This window comes from Homo sapiens, chromosome 16 (assembly GCF_000001405.40).
Source record: "Homo sapiens chromosome 16, GRCh38.p14 Primary Assembly".
Lineage (NCBI taxonomy): Eukaryota > Metazoa > Chordata > Mammalia > Primates > Hominidae > Homo > Homo sapiens.
Window position 1 is genome coordinate 24,817,071 of NC_000016.10, and position 23,586 is coordinate 24,840,656.

The 23,586-nt window shown below is 46.6% G+C and overlaps 1 protein-coding gene across 49 annotated transcripts in view, besides 2 other annotated features; it reads left to right on the top strand.

Moving 5' to 3' along the window:
• TNRC6A (trinucleotide repeat containing adaptor 6A) overlaps positions 1-9,148 on the top strand; it is a 216,014-nt gene extending 206,866 nt beyond the window's left edge. For all 49 annotated transcript variants that reach the window (XM_024450231.2, XM_017023145.3, NM_001351850.2 and 46 more), the window contains 5 exons: positions 1,523-1,630; positions 3,069-3,290; positions 5,007-5,077; positions 5,804-5,943; positions 6,362-9,148. In XM_024450231.2, the coding sequence (XP_024305999.1) occupies positions 1,523-1,630; positions 3,069-3,290; positions 5,007-5,077; positions 5,804-5,943; positions 6,362-6,737 (917 nt within the window). In that variant the 3' untranslated portion in view covers positions 6,738-9,148. The remainder of the gene's footprint in view (positions 1-1,522; positions 1,631-3,068; positions 3,291-5,006; positions 5,078-5,803; positions 5,944-6,361) is intronic.
• Positions 5,742-6,242: an enhancer, noted in NCBI's record as "H3K4me1 hESC enhancer chr16:24834133-24834633 (GRCh37/hg19 assembly coordinates)". NCBI's record gives its function as "activates a minimal SCP1, AML or CMV promoter by ChIP-STARR-seq in primed H9 embryonic stem cells {active_cell/tissue: H9 hESC(primed)}" and the evidence as "EXISTENCE:reporter gene assay evidence [ECO:0000049][PMID:30033119]".
• Positions 17,438-17,732: an enhancer, noted in NCBI's record as "tiled region #7462; HepG2 Activating DNase unmatched - State 12:CtcfO". NCBI's record gives its function as "activates a minimal TATA promoter and a strong SV40 promoter by Sharpr-MPRA in HepG2 cells {active_cell/tissue: HepG2}" and the evidence as "EXISTENCE:reporter gene assay evidence [ECO:0000049][PMID:27701403]".

Consider the following 23,586-nt stretch of genomic DNA (forward strand, 5'->3'; position numbering starts at 1 on the left):
AGCCCAGGAGCTTGAGGCAAGCCTGGGCAACATAGTTGTGGGACCCTGTCTCTTTAAAAAAGAAAGAAAACGAAGAAGAAGAATGGCAGACAGAATTCTCTCTGTTCCCATAGGTGGCTCTTTAATTTGGCTACTTTTTAAATGGTGAGGATTTTATCATCCCTTAGTATGGCAAATATATATATTAATTTAATAAGTTAACATAAAGGACCAGCAAACCTTTGCTTTCCAGCAGTTGTATTAAAGGAATGAAAAAACAGCAAATGAAGGTTGTTACTAACTTTATACTGAGTTACAAGATTATGGTAGTTTAAAAAATGGGTGTTTCTTGTAAAAGACGTTATATTATTATATATGCTTATATACTCTGAATATTGAAGGACTTTCATCTGGAAGAGCGAATTAGGCTGTCTTTCAGAGAGTAAGAATAAGACCAATTTAAGGATCCCTGCAGTCCAGATGTGCTTTTTAATTGGTTAGCAAATAAAATCCGATTACCTGCCACGGGGTTACTTTTCACCTCAAGGCATTTAGATGTGTTTCATCCATGATTTTGTACCAGAAGAGTGTTAACGAAATTAATTTTTTAAATATTAAAAAGTATTTTCTGTCTTTTTAAAATACCATCTATACCTTTAAACAGTTTATAAAGCACATGTGAAGCAGCCACCATGTTGCGTTAGACGTGTAATTTACAGAGGTAACAAGCAGAGAAGAGTCCTTAGCATTGTGAAATGGCTGGGTTTCACAGACAGCTCTGCCCGCTATGGGAACACTAAGCCAAGCATAAATTCTCATGGCGTGGGAGTTAGTGGAAGAATCCGATGGCTCTGAAAGTCAGTAGAGTTTGAATTTGGTGTTAAAGGAAATAGAACATTGAAGGCTTTGAGTGGAAGAATCTTTAAGATGGGGTAATCTGGCTGTGGTGAGCAGAGTGGATTGGGTTGGGAGACAAGCCAGGGAACTGGTGTAGTAATCCAGATGGTGGTCGGGTCTAGAGCTCAACTAGAGTAGTGGTCGATGGGGTTTTGAAAATGGAAAGCTACACCAGGTTTGGGAGCCTGAATATATCGCGTAATGGAGAAGGCTGAAGGGCCTGTTCACTAGTAGTGTCTGTGACCAGGTGCCTTAGAGAGCAGGATAGCCAGTAAGAAGTCACTGGAGCTCAGGGGCGAGTTAGCACCAAGACTCGAACCTCCTTTTTAGACCCAGTGCTGGGAAGCAGAGCCAAGTGCTGTCTTGGTGGCTGGACCCCATTGCTAGAGCGCATCCTCACAGCCAGTGAGGACAAAATCAGAGGGAAAATGCCTGTGCTGAGCCAAGGCAGAGACAATTGGCGAGCTCGCTCAGCATGCTCTTTTGAAGGCAAGAAGGAAGATGTCTCGGGCACCATCTTACCCTGAGTGGACCTGTTTCCTTTCTTGTGGCATACTGTTAGCTTTGATTTCTCTGGAAGCTTTTGCTTTTTCTGAACCTCCACGTCCCTTGCTCTGGTGGCTGATTGGACTCTTCCCCCACACAGGGTCATCCTCATCCTTGAACACCACGCTGCCTTCAACTAGTGCCTGGTCATCCATTCGTGCCTCCAACTACAACGTTCCCCTCAGCAGTACAGCACAAAGCACTTCAGGTGGGCCTCGCCTTCGCTCAGGAAGGGAGGGTTGGTCACAGCCAGAGCCGCGGCTGTTGTTTTAATGCCCTCTTCTTTCGTCCAGTCTTCTCAGGGAATTAGGAGATTCTGTTTGTGAGCCTGGGAAATTATTTTTAACATCCCTTACTCCTTTTTAAACTTACTGTACCCAGCAGTCATCTACTAAAATCAGTTTTCACTGAACAGCTCTCATCTCATCTCAGAGCCACAGCAGCTCTGTAATTAAATGTAATTTAATCCAAACTAGTTCTCAGACTATCTGCAGCGGAGGATCTTTAAAAAAAAAAAAAAATGCCAATCCTCATAGACTGATACTTTTGTAAAATACGGTAAACATGAATTCTGAATTGCTAGGAAAATGATGGCACACTTGAGAGTTACAGGAATGTCAGGTTGCTGTCTGTCTACATATGCGCACTCTGGATTTCTGGACTCGTCCTGCAGCAGATTAGTATGAAACTGTGTTGTGGTGGTCTCCTGGCCATACCCTGAGTAGCACTGACCTAATGCACACACACTTTGTAAGTGAAGTAAGAAAAAGAGTTGATAGTGATGGAAGACAGGAATTGTTCCACTCCTTGCTGTCCCCTCATGCTTTTAGCATGATAGTTGATGTGGTTTACTGTGTACCTGGTCCCTGCATACCCACTCATGTCTCCATTGCTGCGAGGCAGTGTGTGTCAGGAACTGGGCCTGCTGTCTTTTTCTTTCTTCCTTCCTTTCCTTCTTTCTCTCTCTGTCTTTCCTTCCTTTCCTTTCCTTTCTTCTTCCCTCCCTTTTTCTTTCTTTTTTTTTTGTTTTTTTGTTTTTTTGTTTTTTGTTTTGCCATACAGGCTTAGTTTTGAATCCTGGCTCTGCATTAGACCCATAAGCAAATTACTTACCCACTCTGTCTTCAGTAGACTGTGTCAGGACCACAGACAGCACATGCCAGGTGCCCAGCAGCCAATGCTCAGCACAGAGAGGCAGGCACCCCGTGAAGATCTCCTTTGGCAGCTCCTGAGTTGGGGCTCTTTTGCAGTCCTTTTTTCCCTGAGTAAACAACAAAGTTCTAAAATTCACTTAAATGGCCTTTCTTGAGTGACTCAATTACGGTTATTAAGAATTTCACAATTGCTATTTTAGAGCAATTCAGATTGTTTTCCATTTCAGTTTGAGTACAGTTTTGGACACTGGCCTAAGAATTTCATAGGTCTTACAGCTGTTAGTAACAGATCAATGGCTTGAGTGTTTGGAGGGATGGAAAGCAGTTTCCTTTGGACTGATTTTCTTTTTTGGCAGTTTAGTTGATTTGGGGTTTTAAAGTTTCTTTTGTTTGTTAGATTTGCTTTTTGTGGGAGAATGGATGTCATTATTTAAATTTCCTCCTTTCTTAAACATTATTCCTCCCCTCTCCATTTTTTCCCCCTTTGAGTAGCCAGAAATAGTGATTCCAAATTGACATGGTCTCCTGGTTCAGTTACAAACACCTCTCTGGCTCATGAGCTGTGGAAGGTCCCTTTGCCACCTAAAAACATCACTGCTCCGTCCCGCCCACCTCCGGGACTGACTGGTCAGAAGCCACCCTTGTCTACGTGGGATAATTCTCCCCTTCGTATAGGTGGAGGATGGGGAAATTCTGACGCCAGATATACCCCAGGTAAGATGCAGTCGTAAGGTGGGTTTCTGTGGTTTATTTGCTAAACGCTAACCAGTACTAACAGTCGAGTTTAACAGAGACCTGAACGGTAAACTATTGCCTCACCTCCATCAGGGGGAATGAGAACTTCGGTAAACAAATGATCCACCCAAAGGCACACAACAGGCTGCAATAACATTAATGCATTAGGAAGCTCCATTGTCTCAGAAGTTCCTCAAGACTACATCTTAAAATGTGTAGGAACTTCCTGCTCATGGCAGGCTTAAACCACATCACATGGAGCAGAAGGCAGTATTGGGCAAGTCTGGGGAACATGGGAGCAGGCCATCTGGGCCTTGAAGACTAGGGGGGTAGCTTGGCCTGTATTAAATGGGGACATTTGAGAGTGAAAGAGAGTGCTGTTGATTAATCATACATGGCCAACAGGCATAAGCCAGAAGGCCCCGGCAGTCTGGTTCCTCTGCCTTTCCTCATTCTATAATGACTAACATTGGATTTGTACTGGCATCATTTCCTGCCTGTGCTGTCTCCACACCATACATATACACACACAGCCCCAGATGAGCCTAGCAGTTTCCCCAGTAAATACAGTCTTATCCTTCACTCTACCTTGCCTGCAAACTACCAAACATTCCCATCTTCAAGCTGAAAATGAGTAATAAAACCTCATTAATATTTTCTGATTAAATATGTAATTTCTGATCTTTAGACAGGTGATTGGCTGTAGGAAAACTTGCAGCTTTTCCTTTGAGTGCGGGTTAATTATAGGAAAAGAACACTAAAGTACGTGCCAAGCTGCTGAATGCAAGTTAACATAATTGGTGTGGTGTGAGTGGTTTTTGGTTTGGTGTGAGTGGTTTTTGGAGGCCGCAGACATCTGTCTGGATGCCAGCTAAGAGACTGGCAGCACACAGCGAGGGGCGCTAGTGAAAGTGGCCCAGGAACCCACCCCAGGGAGGCTTGGTGCAGTTGAGTGGAATTAGGAAACCTGTAGGAGTAAGCCAAGCGAACCGAGGGGCAGCCTCTGCCAAGGCCCAGACACCGGAGAAAGCACAAAGGCTCCCGTTGGAGTGATGAGAGGATTGCAGGGAGTGGAGGAGGATTCCGTGAGAGGTGGATAGGCCTGAGCTGTGTCATGGAATGGTCTTTCCCAGCACCTGAAGTGTTTGTGAGGTGCCTTGAGTTGCAGATGGGGTCAGGGATGAGGGCTGTACTCCCAGGGGAAGGGTGGATGCCACAGGGGTCCAGCAGGAAGGCCAGATGGGGAGCCCCTGCAGTAACCCCGGGGAAAACAAGGAGCATCTGTGCGATCGCAAGCTCTGGAATCCCCTTAAAGCTTCATGCCCTGAAGGACACACACGCAGAGTGATCAGACACTACTGAAGTCTTCCCCAGATGGTACCGTTTGAGATTATTTTAGCTCCTATCAATGAGAAGATCTCAAAAAGATGCAGCCTTTTGTGGCTCACTGCCCTCCTCTGTGGTGAACTGGGAGCCATTCTGAGCTCACTGTCGCCAGAGGCAGAGCCCCCTGCCATAGGAGTTAATGCCTGGCCATGGCTAGGGCGAGCTGAAATTCTGGGCCTAGGGAGAAAGCCTCCCATGTAGAAGTGCAAGGAAGTGAAGGAAGTCAAGAGGCCAGGTGATCTGCTAAGTAACTGTAGTTGGGCTCTTTCAGTCCTGGAAAACTGACTTGTCCTTTTTTTCCTTGTTTAGGTTCCAGCTGGGGTGAGAGCAGCTCAGGGAGAATAACAAATTGGCTTGTTCTAAAAAACCTTACACCTCAGGTAAGGATACCAGATACGCTGGTTTATGTGGCTACGCCAGGGAGCATGGGAACAGAGGTTCGGGTCTGTATGTGAGACAAGGGCTGCTAGGTGGTAGTGAAGCCGAGCAGAGGAAACAGCAGAGGAGTGGTCTGTAGACCTCAGGCAGGCTGTGGTCGAATCTGGTGGTTCACGCTGTAATGTGCCTGGGAACCAACCAAGCATACAGATTCCCAGGCCTCACCCAGAGATTGAGTCAGTAGATCTGGGCTAGGGGCTGGGACTCTGCATTTGTATGAGGGCCTGCAGATGAATTTGACACAGGTGGTCCTTGTTGGCACATGGAGAAATCCTGGTCTGCCCCTGAGGTGAGAGCATTTTCTTAGCCCCTGGCCTGCGCCCTCCTCTGGAGGCTGGGTGTTGAGCTCCCACCTCCCTCCTCCCTCAGGGAGCAGAACCTTGATGGATGCTGTCCTCAGGGCAGGGAAGAGAGAAGACATGGAGCCACAGTGGGGATCTGGGGAGTGTCCAGGAGTCTAGAGGCCAGAGCGGTATGGCTCTGGGAGCAGTGGAGGTGGGGAAGATGGCTCTGCACCCCGTCAGAGCAACGTCAGAGTGTCAGTGAAGAGTGGTGCCAGGAGCACAGAGCCTCAGGAAAGAGAGGAGGGGCAGCAGTGCAGCCTGAAACAGCCTCCTGGAGGGCCCGCGGTGACGCCTCTCACTGGCAGTTTCCACACTGTTTCCTAGATCGATGGCTCAACTCTGCGCACTCTGTGCATGCAGCACGGCCCGCTGATCACATTCCACCTGAACCTCCCTCACGGAAATGCTCTGGTCCGCTACAGTTCAAAAGAAGAGGTAGTGAAGGCACAAAAGTCTCTGCACATGTAAGTTGGCTGTTGGGCTCCCAGTTGGAAGAGTCTAGGGGAAGGAGTGTGAGAGCACAGCCTGACCCGGGGCAGTGCACAGGGTCCTGCGTGGGTGGCTCCTGCTGGCTGCAGTAGTGCCCTGATTCCAAGGTCGGCATTCCTAAGCGGGGAATCAGACCTGGCTAGATGGCCCTAGAAAGTCCCTTACGTTGCCCATGGCAGACAGAGGAAGTTCGCTCTGGGCAAGGCACCAGGCCCTGGAGAGCTGTGGGTGCACACTCGGGTGAAGGGAGGGCACGCAGGTTATGTGGTGTAGTCTCTCCCTCTGTGCCTTCTGTGGCTTTTCTAGCAGAGACAAGTTGCACCCTCACTTGTGAGTGAATGAAGCCCTCCTGGTGTGCTGTCCTCACGTGTCCGCGGTGCCTCTCTCCTCTAGGTGTGTACTGGGGAACACTACTATTCTTGCTGAGTTTGCCAGTGAAGAGGAGATCAGTCGTTTCTTTGCACAAAGCCAGTCTCTGACCCCTTCTCCCGGCTGGCAGTCTCTCGGGTCCAGCCAGAGCCGGCTGGGCTCCCTCGACTGTTCCCACTCATTCTCCAGCCGGACCGATCTCAATCACTGGAATGGTGCTGGGCTGTCGGGAACTAACTGTGGAGACCTTCACGGCACTTCACTCTGGGGGACCCCGCATTATTCCACAAGCCTGTGGGGTCCCCCAAGCAGCAGCGACCCCCGAGGAATTAGCAGCCCATCTCCCATTAACGCTTTTCTTTCTGTTGACCACCTGGGTGGGGGTGGAGAGTCCATGTAACAGTGTAGATGCAGACTCACCGACCGGGACCTCAGACGCGAGGGAAAGGAGCACTAAGTGGGGCTCGCCGCCTGCAGCCAGGGGCCGCCTGTGGGAACAGCTATTCTCTGCACATTTTCCACTTTGTTTTCCCCAAAACATATCAGTTTGAATACTTGAATCATGCAGGCCAATATTATAATGTGAAAAGGTATCTACTCTATTTACACTCCCAAATAGCGCCATACATGCTAAACCGTAGAGAATGAGCTCGCTTGTGTCTATTCATCATGTTTAGCCTTTGGATTCTTTTTTTTTTTTTCCTTCTATTCCTCCCCAACCCCCCCCCCCGCCCCTTTTTTTCTCTCTTGCAAAACCATTTTTTGGGCTGATAACGTATGAGCTTTTCCCTTTGCACTGAATGATGTTCTCTCCGTCTCATCGGCAGTATGGGGGGCAGCTGTCCCAGTGTCAATGTTTACTCAAGGGTGTTCTTAGGAGGCGTGCGCTCTCTACTATGCCTTGATGTTGCCTACCTTATTGTGGTATCGTGGAGTTTAAAAGATCAAGTTAGGATGCTGACTTAGGATTATTAATGAAAGTGTTGCACCAGTTTTTTCATGTTGTAAAACTAAAGAATTTCGCTCTGCAGTTTGAAAAACTGTGGCCACAGCTGTGACTTGCAGCCCACCTGCCACCCAGGACGGGCCCTGCACTTTGAATAGGCTTTCCATTTTGTTTTGGAGGTTCTCACTTTGAACCTTCTTGTTTACAGATTTTTTTGTTTGTTTTTTGAGAAAAAAAAATGTTTACTCTTCCATCATTTAAAAAAAATGTAAAAGACAAAAAAAAAATGGAGGATGATTTAAAAGATGCTTTCTATCTCTGGGAAAAAGGAGCAGCATTTGGCCATGTTCTTTTGTTTTTCTATTCCTGTCCCAAATCAAAGAGCATGGTTCTCAGGAAAACCAGTTCCCCAGTTTAAAAAAAAAAAAAAAAATTCCTTGTAGTTTCTTAGAGGAAAAAAAGAAAAACCCCAACTTTTAGCACTGATACTACATATTGCTCTGTTAAAGAATTTTCTCTGCCAAAAAAAAAGAAAAAACAAAAAAACGCTTAAAGCTGGAGTTTGACATTCTGCTTTCAGATGCTGTCTTTTTATTAGTGAGTGATGATGGTTTGCTAATAATCAATAGGTAATAATTTTTTGTAATCCCATCAAGTGGCTCCATATGTTTCTGCTCTCTCGTGACTGTGTTAATGTTTAACTGTTGTACCTTAAAGCCGAAATCAGTAACTATGCATACTGTAACCAAGGTATTGGGCTTACAGAGTTGTTTGTTGTATAAAGAAAATTTTAAATGTTGTTGCAAACTAACGAGTTACACCATTTTAAACTTTCTTTCCTCCCCCCTTTTTTTGCCCACAAATGGTATTATAATGCTTGCTTAGTCAAAGAAGAGAGACTAAACAAGGGTAAAAATTTTAACAGTACAGAATTTGCCATCATATCATTGCCTTGATTCTAACTGTTTGTGTCCTAAGATGCAAAAGAAGTCAGTGGCTTTTAACTGTTTACAAATAGAATGTGATTGTAAAATGTACAGTTTGGTTGTGTTTGAATTATGAAATTTCTTCAGATATAATAAACCATGACTTTTTGGCTGCTCAACATTAATTGTCTCCTTTTTGTGAATTTATTTGTAGGCTCTTTTTTATAATGAAAGTTTCAAAGTTGCTATGTATGAGGGTTCTCATAGAGCAACCGATTAAAAATCTAAGCAAATATTTGAACATTTTATCTGAACTCATCACAATTTCACCCTGAAATAATGTGAGAACAATGGGAAACTGTAGCTTGCTCCTTCCCACCCTCTCTGAGCATCTTTGGGATCTTGTTGCTCAAAACTCTTCTGTGACTTCATCTTCCCCACCATTTGTGCCCATCTCAAGCCTCAGCAAGAAACCATGTGGAACATGAAGCTTAATGACTTGACAGTGTACTAGTGTTAAACTCTCATACCTCTGTTACAAAGCGAGAAACGCCACACCCGGACTGGCCTTTTCTTCCCCCTTCACGGCCCTCGCTTCTCCCTGCAGGAGCTCGGGGGCGAAACCTGTGTATGGATTTCAGTGTATGACTTCAGATCATGCTCCAACTTGCCAGGTGTGAGCTAATGTTGTCGGACACCTTACTATAAGCAAATGTTATTCAGTGCGTTCAATGTATATTGACTTCCATACTGGTTTTTCCAAAAACCAAAGGTAGCTTTGAAAAACCATGTCTGGAAATGTTTGGAGCGTTAAGCTGATTGACCTTCTGACCTTGGGGCTTTGAGTAGTATATAATTCATAACTGCGTTAATTGTATTGTTAAAGTGTTTGGGAGTTTTTTGCGCTTGTTATGTGGAAATAAAGTGTTTGATTTAAAATTTTTTAAAGTGGTTTGGATCTTTGCCTAGTCCTTAAATAAATACAGCTCTATTCCCTAAGCCACCCTTACTTCTCGGTCTTAATCCCGACTGCCAGTGCCTGGATGCTGCCCTTTGTCTGGCACAGACCTGCAGCTGACCATGCTGGGCCCATGGCTCGGGGCTTTCTAGTCACGCAGAGCCACCAAGAGTCAGGGTAAACTTTTTAACACAGGCACTTAACACGTTTTTTCTTTGTTTTCTTTTTTCCTTTTCTCTTTCTACTTTCTTCCTTTTTCTTTTTTCTTTCTTTTTCTTTCTTTTTTTTTTTTTCTTTCGACAGGGTTTCACTCTGGATATCAGTTCACTGTCACCTCTGCCTCCCAGGCTCAAACGGTTCTCGTCCCTCAGCCTCTCAAGTAGCTGGGATTACAGGCACCTATCACCGAATCCGGCTAAGTTTTGTATTTTTAATAGAAATGGGGTTTCACTGTGTTGCTCAGGCTGGTCTCAAATTCCAAAGCTCAAGCGATCTGCCCATCTCAGCCTCCCAAAGTGCTGGGATTACAGGCATGAGCCACTGCGCCTGGCCTCAGGCATTTACACATTTTCAAATATCCCTCCTTGCTCTGCTCCCCTGGGTGTGTTCCCAGCTCTAATGAACCTCAACTTCTCTGCGGTGCTATGCTTTCCACCCTCAAAGACTGGAGGGCAGCTTGCCCTGGACTTCCTTCCCCAGTCAAGAGTAATTAGCTCCTTCCATCATTTCAAGGAACTGTGCTAGGCCACCACATGCTGAATAGGCTCTCTCTAGTCTTTGTAATCCACCTTCTCAGATCGATGATAGTGGCTGAATAAATATTGCAAGGAATAATAGCTGAGCTGTCACCTATTGACACCTGAGGACAGGAGACTGTGGTAGTGCCACACTGTTGGCTTGTGCAGGTGGATGAACCGGGGAATGACGACAAGGTCAAATTGGGGCCCTTGACCCAGAGGATCAAATTCAGGTTGAATGGCATGAAGGTAGGGACTGAGATGAAGGGGGAGTATTTGCATCAAGACTGAGGGATGGCCAAGCATGGTGGCCTCATGCCTGTCATCCTAGCACTTTGGGAGGCCGAGGCAGGAGGATCACTTGAGCTCAGGAGTTCGAGGCCAGCCTGGGCAATATAGTGAGACCCAGTCTCAAAAAGTTGGGGGGATGACAAATTGAGGTTGCACTGAGCAAACCATCTTAACGTTTGGCTAAGGCATCGTTTCCATGCATTGGGACTTAATTGGTTTTTCCTCTTCTCCAAAGTTCAGATCTTTTCCTGCTGACCCTTTGATTTCAAATGTGCAGAGGGGTGTCTCGGAACAAAAGCCAGAACTGGAACCCATATGGACCTTGACAGAGACCAGGCCTTCAGCCCTGGCGGAACTTTGCATGAATAGGTATTTACATGGTCCAACGGGAGGGAGGGTAACGGCATTGGTGTGTTAAGGGTTCTCTACATGCCAGGTGCTTTTTCAAAAGTTTTATTCTGTTTTAAGACAGTGTCACTCTGTCGCCCAGGCTGGAGTGCAGTGGCTCAATCTCAGCTCACTGCAGCCTCAACCTCCCAGGCTCAAGTGATCTACCTCAGCCTCCCAAGTAGCTGGAACTACAGGCGTGCACCACCACGCCCAGCTATTTTTTGTAGAGACAGGGTTTCACCATGTTGCCCAGGCTGGTCTCAAGTGATCCGCCTGCCTCAGCCTCCCAACGTGCTGGGATTACAGGCGTGAGCCACCACGCCCAGCTAAGTTTTTGTTGCTGTTGTTGTTTTTGTTTTTTGTTATTAGAAATGGGGTTTCATCATGTTGCCCAGGCTGGTCTCGAACTGCTGGACTCAAGTGATCCGCCCGCCTCAGCCTCCCAACGTGCTGGGATTACAGGCATGAGCAACCACGCCCAGCTAAGTTGTTGTTGTTGTTAGTAGAGATGGGGTTTCACCAGGTCGCCTAGGCTGGTCTCGAACTCCTGGGCTCAAGTGATCCGCCTGCCTCGGCCTCCTGAAGTGTCGGGATTATAGGTGTGAGCCACCGTGCCTGGCCCTGCCAAGTGCAGTGTTATTTTCAGAGCTTTCCAGCCTGGCCCTAGGAACAGAAAACCACAGTGCCATTTGCACTGGTGGACAGTGTCTCAAGTTGTCCACCAACATACCCCCAAAGCTAGAGGACACAGCATGCGGACCCCCCTGGGATCCAGGGGCAGAGTTTAAAGCTTAAGAATTTTAGGTTAAGCTGAATGTGAATGTTGCATTCTGCTCCACATCTTTTCCTCTAAAAATACGGCTTCAAATAGCCACTTAAATTGCTTTTCTTCAGAAAGTCTGATGCTTCCAGAAGGTGAACCACACCACAGCAGGGTGCAGTCAGGACCCAGTACCACTCTAAGAAGCAGGGCTGAAGAGGTTCCTTAGAGCTGTGCTGACAGATGACAGGTGGCAGGGAGTCCTATTGGCTGAGCCCCGGCAAAGGGGCAAGAGAATGACTCCCACCGGCTGACCCAGCCTTGAATTCAAGGGCCCTGTCGAAGCCCACGGAGACCCCTGTCCTGGCTAACAGTTGACTCCAGGTCGCTCCAGCCTGCAGGGAGAGCAGGACAGCAGTCTGCAATTCCAACCAAGTGATGCCAGGACCTAATCTGCAGACCTGAATCCAGTACATAGACTGTTACAATGTTGCTGCATCCCTGAACCGCCTGGGTTTCTATCGATTTCATAGTGATAAAATCAACTTCTGCGGGGCGTAGAGGCACGAGCCTATAATCCCTGAGGCTGAAGCAGGATTGCTTGAGCCCAGGTGTCTGACACCAACCTGGGCAACATGTTCAACCTGAGACACTCAGATCAAAAATAAATTTTAAAAAAAATTGTTTAATCAACTCCTCCAATTTCTTTATAAAGGAAAGTTGATATCATTACCTTATACAGAAAATCAGTGTCCATATATAAAAGAGAGCTATACAAGAAATAAAAACAAAATGTATTCCATTCTGGGTAGATATACTTATCAAAGGTGAGAAGAGAGGTTAGAAAGGGTTCAGGAGAGGTTAAAGTCGTGCTCTCACCATGTGGAGACTTCCTGCCTGATGGGGTCAGATGTGCTCCAGGGACACTGACACTGCAGAGGGAGAGCTCTACGCATTTGCGATTCTGCCTTATCTAATCAATCCTCTCCTGTACCCGACAGACCCCTCCCTCCCCCAGGAGTGCTGAGCCCGGGCCTTGGGAGGTTTGGGGGTTGGGGGGGCTCTTGCTTTAAGGCTTTGGCTCCATATTCTGTGGAAAGCACCCCTCAACCACTGCCCCCATATCTACAGAGAACTACTGTGAAGACAAGAGGCTGGGAGATGAATGGGGGCAGTGGGACCCCGTGGCACACTGGCAATCCCTGGTCACCCCTGCTCGGAACCCACCAAAGATGGCCTGAGCATTGGCGTAAAATACTCCTTTCTGAGGAGGTGGCGTCCAAGCAGACACCTGAAAGATGGGAAGCAACAGCCCAGCTTGGGGAAAGGACAATTCAGGTAACAGCCCGGAGCCCAGGGTGTCTGAGACAGAGTGGGCAAGGGGGACAGTGAAAGGTGACCACTGGGTCAGGTGCGGTGGCCGTCGGCTGTAATCCAGCACTTTGGGAGGCTGAGAGGAGAATCGCTTGAGCCCAGGAGTTAGAGACCAGCCTGGGCAATAGAGTGAGACCCCCAGAGAAGGAATGAGGGCAGGGCTCCAAGGCTAAGGCCGTGCTACCCAGGCCTGGCTGTCTATTAAAACCACTTGGAAATACCCCAAAGCTCAGGCGCCACCCCAGACAGTCTGATTTAATAGGGCCCCAGCATGTTTTAAAACCTTTACTTTTTTATAGCACGTTACAATTTGCTATCACTTTGTTTTCCTGCTTCATGTCTAAATGCACACGTGCACACGTGTGTGTGCGCACACACACACAATGAATACAAGTAAAACCCGGGACATCTGAATGCAGTCAGTGAACCAGATGACTGTCAGTCTCCTGGTTGTGATATTGTACTATGATAGTTTTTCAAGATGTGACTATTGAGGGGAACTGGGTTGAGAGTACAGGACATCTCTGTATTGTTCCTTATAACCACATGTGAATCTGCAATTATCCCAACACTGTGAACAAAGCTCTTATGTAGTAATGATCATCAAATGATATTTTTGATATAGGAGGTTTTTTTTATTTTTTATTTTTTTGAGACGGAGTCTCACTCTGTCACCCAGGCTGGAGTACAGTGGCTTGATCTCGGCTCACTGCAACCTCCGCCTCCCCGGTTCAAGCTATTCTCCTGCCTCAGCCTCCTGAGTAGCCGGGATTACAAGTGTGCGCCACCACACCCAGCTAATTTTTGTATTTTTAGTAGAGACGGGGTTTCACCATGTTGGCCAGGCTGGTCCCAAACTCCTGACCTCAGGTGATCCGCCCACCTCGGTCTCCCAAAGTGCTGGGATTACAGGCATGAGCCACTGAGCCCAGCCTATCGTAGATATTTTCAATGCTGCTATTCCACAAATGCCAGAGCTCCTGGTTTCCAGGTTTCTAAAAAGTAAAGTAGAACAGATTCTTTGGCCGTTCTAGAGGAATTTTTTTTTTTTTTTTTTTTTTTTTTTTTTGCTGTTTTATGAATGCTTACCTATTTGAATATTGGCAGAGAAGTAAATAAGTTGACAACAAAAAGTTAAAAAAAAAAATCATCTCAGCAAGTGACCCCAAGACCCTTTAGGACCCTGTGCTGTGGTGAGGCCTAGCCATTGATCCCGGGAGGCCCAAGGTGCAGGTTGCGGGGGGTTTTGCCCCAGTTCTGCTGTGGCACCAGAACCCAAGCCCCTTGCCATCATTGCATCTTCTAGAGTCACTGTGATGAAAATGAGATCACGTGATTAAATCTTAAGTGATTAAAATGGACTTTTCAGGCATAAAGTTAAAGGTTATGGGTACTAGCAATGACTACAGGTCGTTATTGCATAAGCAACAAAAGGCCCATTCTTCTCTTTGGGAACTTATTTTTTAGGTACCTGTATTTCATTTTGTTTTTAATTTTTGATTTAATAACATTGTTTGGTTTTATTGGGTTTTTCATCACTCCCTGTTGGATATGGCAAACAATGGTCTGTTAAGGTTTCTTTTTTTTCTTTTTTTTTTTTTTTTTTTGAGATGGAGTCTTCTCTGTTGCCAAGGCTGGAGTGCAATGGTGTGATCTTGGCTCACTGCAACCTCCGCCCCCAGGGTTCAAGCAACTCTCCTGTCTCAGCCTCCCGAGTAGCTGGGATTACGGGTGTCTGCTGCCGCGCCCAGCTAATTTTTGTATTTTTAGTAAAGAGAGGGTTTCACCATCTTGGCCAGGCTGGTCTTGAACTCCTGACCTCGTGATCCACTTGCCTTGGCCTCCCAAAGTGTTGGGATTACAGTCATGAGCCACCATGTCCTGCCAAGTTTTCCTTTTATTTGTTTGTTTGTTTAGAGACAGGGTCTTACTCTGTCCCCCAGGCTGGAGTGCAGTGGCATGATCATGGCTCACTGTAGCTTCGGCCTCCTGGGCTCAAGAGGTCCTGTCACCTCAGCCTCCTGAGTAGCTGGGACCACAGGCACACACCACCATGCCCAGCTAATTTTTTTTTTTCCCTGTAGAAATGAGATCTCACTATGTTTCCCAGGCTGCTCTCGAACTCCTGGGCTCAAGCGATCCTTCCACCTTGGCCTCCCAAAGTGCTGGGATTAGACATGAGCTATCGTGCCCAGCTAGTTTTCCTTTAAATAAATACATTTCTGTTGTATTTTAGAAGAGGGCTAAATTGAAAGAAGCTGTTAGGTAAATAACAGTTGAGGCAACGTGCAGAAACGGCAAAGTTGTGAGTGTCCGAGGTCAGGGAGCATAACAGAGGACGAGATCTTTTCACGTGCTTTTCTTTGCCCTCGGAAGTTGCTACTGGTTATTGGTTAATGTGGTCTTTGGAGTTAGACCAACCTGTTGTCATGGAATGTCTGGCTGTAAGGAGTCCAGGGCTGGTATCCTCGCTCTACTTAAGGACCCAAGACGCCTTCCATCATTGCAACACTGTCTTCATCTGCAGAGGCACAGATATCTCACTTCCACAGTCACATCCCAGCCAGTGGAGAAAGAGAGGGATGGGGAGAGCATGCTCCTCCCCACTAAGGGCATGACCCCCAGCTATGCTCACATGCCATTGGGCAGAAGAAAATCACATGAGCAGGAAGGCTGCAACTCATAGTCTTTATTCTGAATGTCTTGTCCCCAGCTTAGATGTGACACTTCTGCTATTGGGGAAGAAGGAGAGACTGGATATTGGGGAACAACTAGTAGTGCTGGTTCTAAGAAGGGAACAGTTAAATAAACTATACTTCATCCGGAAGCCGGAATGTTTAGCCACTAAGACAATGAGATAGATCTATATAAACGGCTATCAAGAGGTGTCTTTTTTTTTTTTTGAAACAGGGTCTCACTCTGTCACCTAAGCTGGAGTGCAGTGGTGCAATCTCAGCTCACTGCAGCCTCAACCTCCCAGGCTCAAGTGATCCTCCCACCTCAGCCTCCCAAAGGGCTGGGATTACAGGCGTGAGCCACCACGCCCAGCCTGCTTGAACGGTCAAACCTAACTGGATGCCAGGAAGCAAGGAGAGCCGGGTGATATCACCTGAAACCCACAGCAATCAGCTTCATGGAGCACCGAGCACAGTCAGGAGGGGTAGAAAAGGGATCCAAGGTGGGTGACGTGCTTGAAGAGCGAACATTAACCAACCCCTCTAGGAGGGTGTGGAGCAGGAACTGGAAGGGTCTGGGCCTTGAGGCTAGCTGGGAAACTAATTTGGAAGTTGAGACAAGAATTTATAAAAGCCGGAATCAGGGCTGTAGCATAGAGATGCGAGGAAGAGCTAAATGCATGAAGAGCCAATGAGATGGATGCTAGGGTCTGTGGAGAGTGAAGGAGAGGAGTCTAGGACAATCTCACGTTTCTGACTTGGTGAACCACTACTAGCTAAGGGAGAGGACCCTGGAGGATAAGAGTGGGTTTCCTGGTGCAGGGAGTGGCAGGTGGGTGTGCAATATGATGTATCAAGGAGCCTGGGAAACAGCCCAGTGGAGCTGTCCAGTTGACAGCTGCTTTTAAGTGGTGAGGACACTATATTTTTTCACCACTGTATCCTTAGCACCTAGCTCAGAGCACTGAAAATATTTGTTGGATGCATGGATGAATGGATGGATGGACAGACAGATGAACAGACGGATGGACAGATGGACGGATGGATGGATGGATGGTTGGACAGATGGATGGACGGATGGATGGATGGACAGATGCAGGGATGGATGGATGGATGGATGGATGGATGGATGGATGGATGCATGGATGGATGGATGGATGGATGGATGGACGGATGCATGGATGGACGGATGCATGGATGGATGGATGGATGAATGGATAGATGGCTGGATGGTTGGATGGATGCATGGATTGACGGATGGATGGATAAATGGATGGATGGATAAATGGATGGATAGATGCATGTTTAAGGAAGAAACCAATAATAGAGATATCAATTTGGGGTTTGTAAATCACAGGTGATGGCTGAGGCATGGAAATGGGTAAGCATGTAGAATGAGGGCTCAGGAAATATCATAATTTGAGAAGAAGAAAGGAGACTAGAGATCTGAGCAGGAAGAGTCAAAGATTCAAAGAGGCATTGATGAGGTGAGGGTTGGGCATGGACAACATGAGAGAGTGGAGTCTCAGATCTGGGGAGAGGGGAAATTTCAGGGAAGGAGAAAGCCATGGTCTGAAATGCTGCCTGTCAAGAAATCTATGGGGAAAGCCATGCATGGTTCTGTGACAGTGGAGATCATTTTTGGGGTAGAGGCAGACGCCAGGTCCCAGTGGGGTGAGGGGTTAATGGATAATGGAGATGAAGGTGGTGGTGTAGATTGGATTTCCCAAGAATCACATTCTGAGGTGCAGATCTGAGTGGAGGTGGCTTATTGGAAAATATCCTCAGAGTACATTGATAAGGGAGGAAGGGAGGCAGGACAGGGCAGAGGGAGAAGTTGAGCTGCAGTGAGGTCGCAACAGAGGCCTCAGCCAACCTCTCAGGGAGCTGTGCAGCTGGGATGTCCCTCAAATATGCTCTGCACCCAAGGAAGGACAGGGACCACCCCACTGACCAAGCACTGGATTTAGGCTGTGGATTTAGGGGAATTGTCCTTCCTCTGGCTAAGGACAATTCCTTTTGGGGAGACTCAGCTGGGAGCTGGCTGCCACACTCTCCCAGCAGTCAGGCAGTGAATGCCTCCACCCTGCAAGGAGGTCGGGTGCGCCCCACAGGGAGTGGCAAGTGTAAACTGTCAGGAACTGATCAGTGGAGGGAAAGAAGGGAAGCCAGTGCAGCAGCTAGAGGGAGACAGAGGTCAGAAAAGCCTTTGTGTGTAGCTCTAGTTCATAGTTTGAGAAACACTGCAGTGTGATCTTAGGCTGGGAGAAGAAGCCCCTAGAGAGTGAGAATGAAGACCCAAGAGTGAGGATAGACCTGCCACACTTTCTGTTTAACCCCCAGAGCTTAGAACACTGCCTGGCACACATTTGCACTTAAGAAATATCTGCGGAATGGCTGAATCCAGGAGTACATTCCAGACATTTTAACACTGAATAGCAGAAACAGAGTGCCGATATTTAGCTCCATGAAGAAATACATACGCATTTAAATATAGGAATGTACTTGAAGTTGGGCACAGTGGCTCACACCTGTAATTCCAGCACTTTCGGAGGTCAAGGCAGGAGGATTGCTTGAGTCCAGGAGTTAGAGATCAGCCTGGGCAACAGAGTGAGATCCCCATCTCTACAAAAACTACAAAAATTAGCCAGATGTGGTGGTGCACACCTATAGTCCAAGATACTTGGGAGGATGAGGTGGGAGGATGGCTTGAGTCTGGGAGGTCAAGGCTGCAGTGAGCTATGATTTTGCCACTGCACTACAGCCTGGGCAACAGAGCAAGACCCTGACTCTTTCAAAAAAAAAAAAAAAAAGTACTTATAAGGGGAACCAAGACACTCAAATACTGCCACACCACCGTTATAATCTGTAGTGCATTCACAATTTCATGGAAGCCCACAGAAGCCAAGAAATTCCCTCCAGCCCCTAATCCTCCATCTCAACTTCAACCACGGCTTCTTTCATGTAATGTTGGTCCATGTTTTTCCATAAGAACCCATTTATATAAAGACTTTTATGATTCCTTAAAACAACTTTGTTGAGGTAGAAATGACATGATAAACTACACATACATGTACAATTTGAAGAGTTTTGACACAGGCATAACCGATGAAACCATTACAGGAGAACGAACATACCCATCTGTATTAGTCCATTTGCACACTGCTGATAAAGACATACCCGAGACTGGGTAGTTTATAAAGGAAACAGGTTTAATGGACTCACAGTTCCACATGGCTGGGGAGGCCTCACAATCATGGCAGAAGAGCACAGAGACATCTTACATGGCGGCCGGCAAAGAATGAGAACACAGTGAAAGGGGGAACCATATAAAATCATTAGATCTCGTGAGACTTATTCACCACCTCGAGAACAGTATGGAGGAAACTGCCCCTGTGATTCGATTATCTCCCACCAGGTCCCTCCCACAGCACATGGGAGTTATGAGAGCTACAATTCAAGATGAGATTTGGGTGGGGACACAGCCAAACCATATCACCATCGCCCCGAGAAATTTCCTTCTTCCCCTCTGTGACCCCTCCCTCCTGCCTTTCCCATCCCCAGGCAAACATATATCCATCACAAGAAATTTGTTCCCGGATTCTACATTTGTATGTAAATGAATCAGAGTATGTACTTTTTGTGTGTCTGGCTTCTTCCCTTGGCAAAATTATTTTGGAATTTTTTTTTTTTTTTTGAGACAGAGTTTCACTCTTGTTGCCCAGGCTGGAGTGCAATGGTTAATTTTGTATTTTTAGTAGAAATGGGGTTTCTCCATGTTGATCAGGCTGGTCTCGAACTTCCGACCTCAAGCGATCCATCCGCCTTGGCCTCCCAAAGGACTGGGATTACAGGCGTGAGCCACTGCGCCTGGCCTGTTTTTTACGTTTGAAAGTATCTAACAGAGAAAAGCCTCAAGAGAGTGCTTTGTTCACAATTCTGTCCTGTTTGTGCTTTTTCTCAGTAGTTTAGACACACACATAGAAGAATTATATTTATTAGCTGGGCTTGGTGGTGTGCACCTGTAATCCCAGCTACTCGGAGGCTGAGGCATGAGAATCACTTGAACTCGTGAGGCAGAGGTTGCAGTGAGCCGAGATGGTGCCACTGCACTCCAGCCTGGGCAACAGAGTGAGATTCTGTCTCAAAAAAAAAAAAAAAAAGAGAGAGAGAGAAGAAGGATTATATTTAATTGAAATTCTCATAATAACCAGGTTGATGGCAAATGGGCTGTTAGTCAAGCTGGAGGGCTCCAGAGAAGGATTTACCTTTGTTAGCAGACAGTTGCTTTGAATTCACGTTTCTTCCTGGAGGGTTTTAGCAACTTCTGAGTGGGAATGGGAATGGGAGAGTTTGAAGGTTTTTCCTTCCAGTTCCCTGGACTCTGGAGACGGTACCTCACAGGGAGACGCTATGGGTCAAAGGGCAGTATTTTCTGTAAAGGGCCAGGTAGTAAATATTTTAGGCTTTGCAGGCCATGTGGTCTCTGTCACAGGTATTCAGCTCTACCATTGTTGCACAAAAAGAGCCAGAGATGACAGGTAAACAAATGAACATGGATGTGTTCCAATAAAACTTTATTGATAAAAACAAGCAGTGGGCCAGATCCGGCCTGGCAGATGGAGAGAATGGTTTGCTCGCCTTTGCTTTAGTCAATGGAATGTCACTAAAGCCTCCCCTCTACTATTTATTATGGATGTGGGTGATTATGATAATGAAAGTTGTAGAATTTAGACGACATTAGAGACGATGATATAATATGTAACCCATGAAATATTTGAGGTTGGGCATTGTGGCTCAGGCCTGTAATCCCAGCACTTTGGGAGGCCGAGGCGGGTGGATCGTTTAAGCCCAGGAGCTTGAGACCAGCCTACGCAACATAGAACCTGTCTCTACAAAAAAATTAAAAAACTAGTCAAGTGAGTTGGCGCACACCTATAGTCTCAGCTACTCAGGAAGCTAAAGCAGGAGGATCGCTTGAGCCCAGGAGGTCGAGACTGCAGTGAGCTGTGAGCATGCCACTGCACTCCAGCCTGGGTGACAGAGCAAGATCCTGTCTCAAAACAAACAAACAGAAACAATCAGGGCTGGGCGCGGTGGCTCACACCTGTAATCCCAGCACTTTGGGAGGCCTAGGTGGGTGGATTACCTGAGGCCAGAAGTTTGGGACCAGCCTGGCCAACATGGTGAAACCCCATCTCTACTAAAAATACAAAAATTACCCAGGCGTGTTAGGGGGCACCTGTAATTCCAGCTACTCGGGAGGCTGAGGCAGGAGAATCGCTTGAACCCGGGAGGCAGAGATTGCAATGAGCAGAGATCGCGCCACTGCCCTCCATCCTGGGCAACAGAGCAAGACTCCGTCTCAAAAACGAAACAAAAAAAACAAAAAACAAAAAAAAAAACAATCAAGACAATTTGCTTCTTAGAGCCAGGCTTGCATTAAGGTCTAGGCTGTAGCCACATCAACAGACACCATGAGAACAGACATTTCCTAAGGTGTAGCCAACAGGTCCCATATCTGCCTTCTCTGTTTTATTCTAACTCCCCGTGGGCTTTGGCTATGTGGGGACAGGAAGGCCCTGGGACTGAAAACCAGATGCTTTTCACTATCAGGTGATCATCCTGCTGGGCAAAACACCTGCAAGATGCAGCGACCAACCCCGGATTCAGAACAACTTCAACAGGTGGCAATTTATGATCTGCTCCCTACTAGGAATACGGAAGATGGTCATTAAAATAGTAGCACACAGTTATTTAGCACTTACGGAAGAAAGCTCAACAGTTTACAGGTGTTACCTCATTGAAGGCTCGCCACTATTCTGTGAAGGAGGTGTTGTTATTTCTCCCTCGTTTAGCGGATAATGAAGCAGATTTGCAGAGGTGAAGTAACTTGCCCACGTCACACACCTACTGAGCCGTGAAGTCTAAAGACAAAGCGTGTGTCTCTGCAATGCTGCAAAAGAGTCAGAATATGTTCTGTGTGGCTGGGCGTGGTGGTCCATGCCTGTAATCCCAGCACTTTGGGAGGCTGAGGTGGGCAGATCACTTGAGGTCGGGAGTTCGAGACCAGCCTGACCAACATGGTGAAACCCCTGCTCTACTAAAGACACAAATATTAGCCAGTGTGGTGATGTGTACCTGTAATCCCAGCTACTTAGGGGACTGAGGCAGGAGAATTGCTTAACCCAAGAGGCAGAGGTTGCAGTGAGCCAAGATTGTGCCACTGCACTCCAGCCTGGGCTACAGAATGAGACCCTATCTTAAGAAAAAAAAAAAGGTGTTCTGTGTGTCTTTCCTGTGCTGAGACTGGAGTAGCTGTATCCTTCTAGAGCAAGACAGCAGGGTCCTAATAGCAAAGTTTACCCAGCCCTTATCATGAGCAGCCACACTTGGAAACAATGTGCATGAATGTTTTAGGGTGAAAGCCTGCACTGTTGTAACAAGTGACTCAGCAATAACACGGCTAAAATAAGGAAATTCATTCTGTTCCATGTCTCGGTCCACGGGGAGGCTCCAAGTCAGTGGCTTCTCTGTTCCAACAGGAACCCAGGCTGCTAGCAGCTCTACTGTTTTCCTTACACACAGCCTGCAAGGGGACTCAGTCACCATCCTGACCAAAAAGAAGTCAGAAAGGAGGGGAAGACAAGGGCAGGGAGCTCCCTCTTAATCACGGGAGGCAGAAATTGTGTGAATCACAGTCCCTTTCATTCCACTGGCAAGAGTTAGCCACAGCTAGACACAAATCGGGGCTGCCCAGTGCAATCAGCCTTGTGCCCAGGAAGGGAGGAGGGCAGGTTTTGCTGGCCATTTCCCACCCCAGAGCATTATTTTATTTAATCCTTATAGCAGCCCTAATTATTTGACAAATGGGTAGACTGACACACAGGGCAGTGAATGGGGATACTTACCATAAGTCACGAAGTCAGTAGAGCCAGGATTTAGCTAAACACTGAAGGCAGAGCCCAGGTACTTACCTACATGCCATGCAACTGCCCCCGCGCTGGAACTTGCCACAAATGCCCATGACAGTGGGTTATCAGTAAAGTCACCTGCTATAACCCAGATTTGTGCTGCTGGAAGTTTTTGGTCAACAGGCTTCCACGGGATCTTGTTCCACTCCAGTAATCTCCAAGTGTCTTGAAGTCACACTCCAAATTTTAACCTCTCTGCCATGGTTGACCTACTGTTAAAGTGTTTAATGATTAATTTTTAAAGACCTTGTTGATTCATTAACAATCTACTATGTACTATGCACTAACTGGCAAGGTTTATTGAGATATAAACAGCTTGTACCCCAACAGAATCTACTGCCATAAATAGGCTTTCCGGTAAGGGTCTATTTTCATCAGAAGACACCTTTTAACCGATTATGTGGCTTTCGGTTTAGACATAATGTTTACAAGAGTTTTCCTAGGTACACAGGCTCATACAAGTTGGCCATAGAGCACAAGTTCTAAAACTGGTCACAGACCTCTTAACACCAAGGACTCCAAGGACCTTTTGTTATGTGGATGATAGCTATAGATATTTATCATATCAGACATTTAAATTAATAAACAATTATAAATATGTACTGCTTTTTTTTTTTTTTTTTTTTTTTTTGAGATGGAGTCTCCTAATGTTGCCCAGGCTGGAGTGCAGTGGCACGATCTTGGCTCACCGCAACCTCCACCTCCTGGGTTCAAGTGATTTTTCAGCCTCCCAAGTAGCTGGGATTACAGGTGCGCACCACCACGCCTGGCTAATTTTTGTATTTTTAGTAGAGATGGGTTTTCACCATGTTGGCCAGGCTGGTCTTAAACTCCTGACCTCAGGTGGTCTGCCCCCCAAAGTGCTGGGATACAGGCGTGAGCCACCATGCCTGGCCCACGTACTGCTTTTTTAAAGAATAATAAATCCACTGCATGTTAAATAATTTTTTATTTTTTAAAAATCCCATATTTTCCCAAAAGATTTATTGGAAACAGTGGCATCGTTTTATGTTTTTACAAATCTTTTTAATGCCCAGTTTAAGAGAAGACAGCTGGAATCTCATATTTGTTTCTATATTCAGTCTGTTACTACATCTCATGCCACTTAGTCTCTGGAAAACTACACTGGACTTTCATGAATAGAGAAAAAAAAACCTTAGTATTAAGAAGTGGGCTGGCACAGTGGCTCATGCCTGTTATCCCAGCACTTTGGGAGGC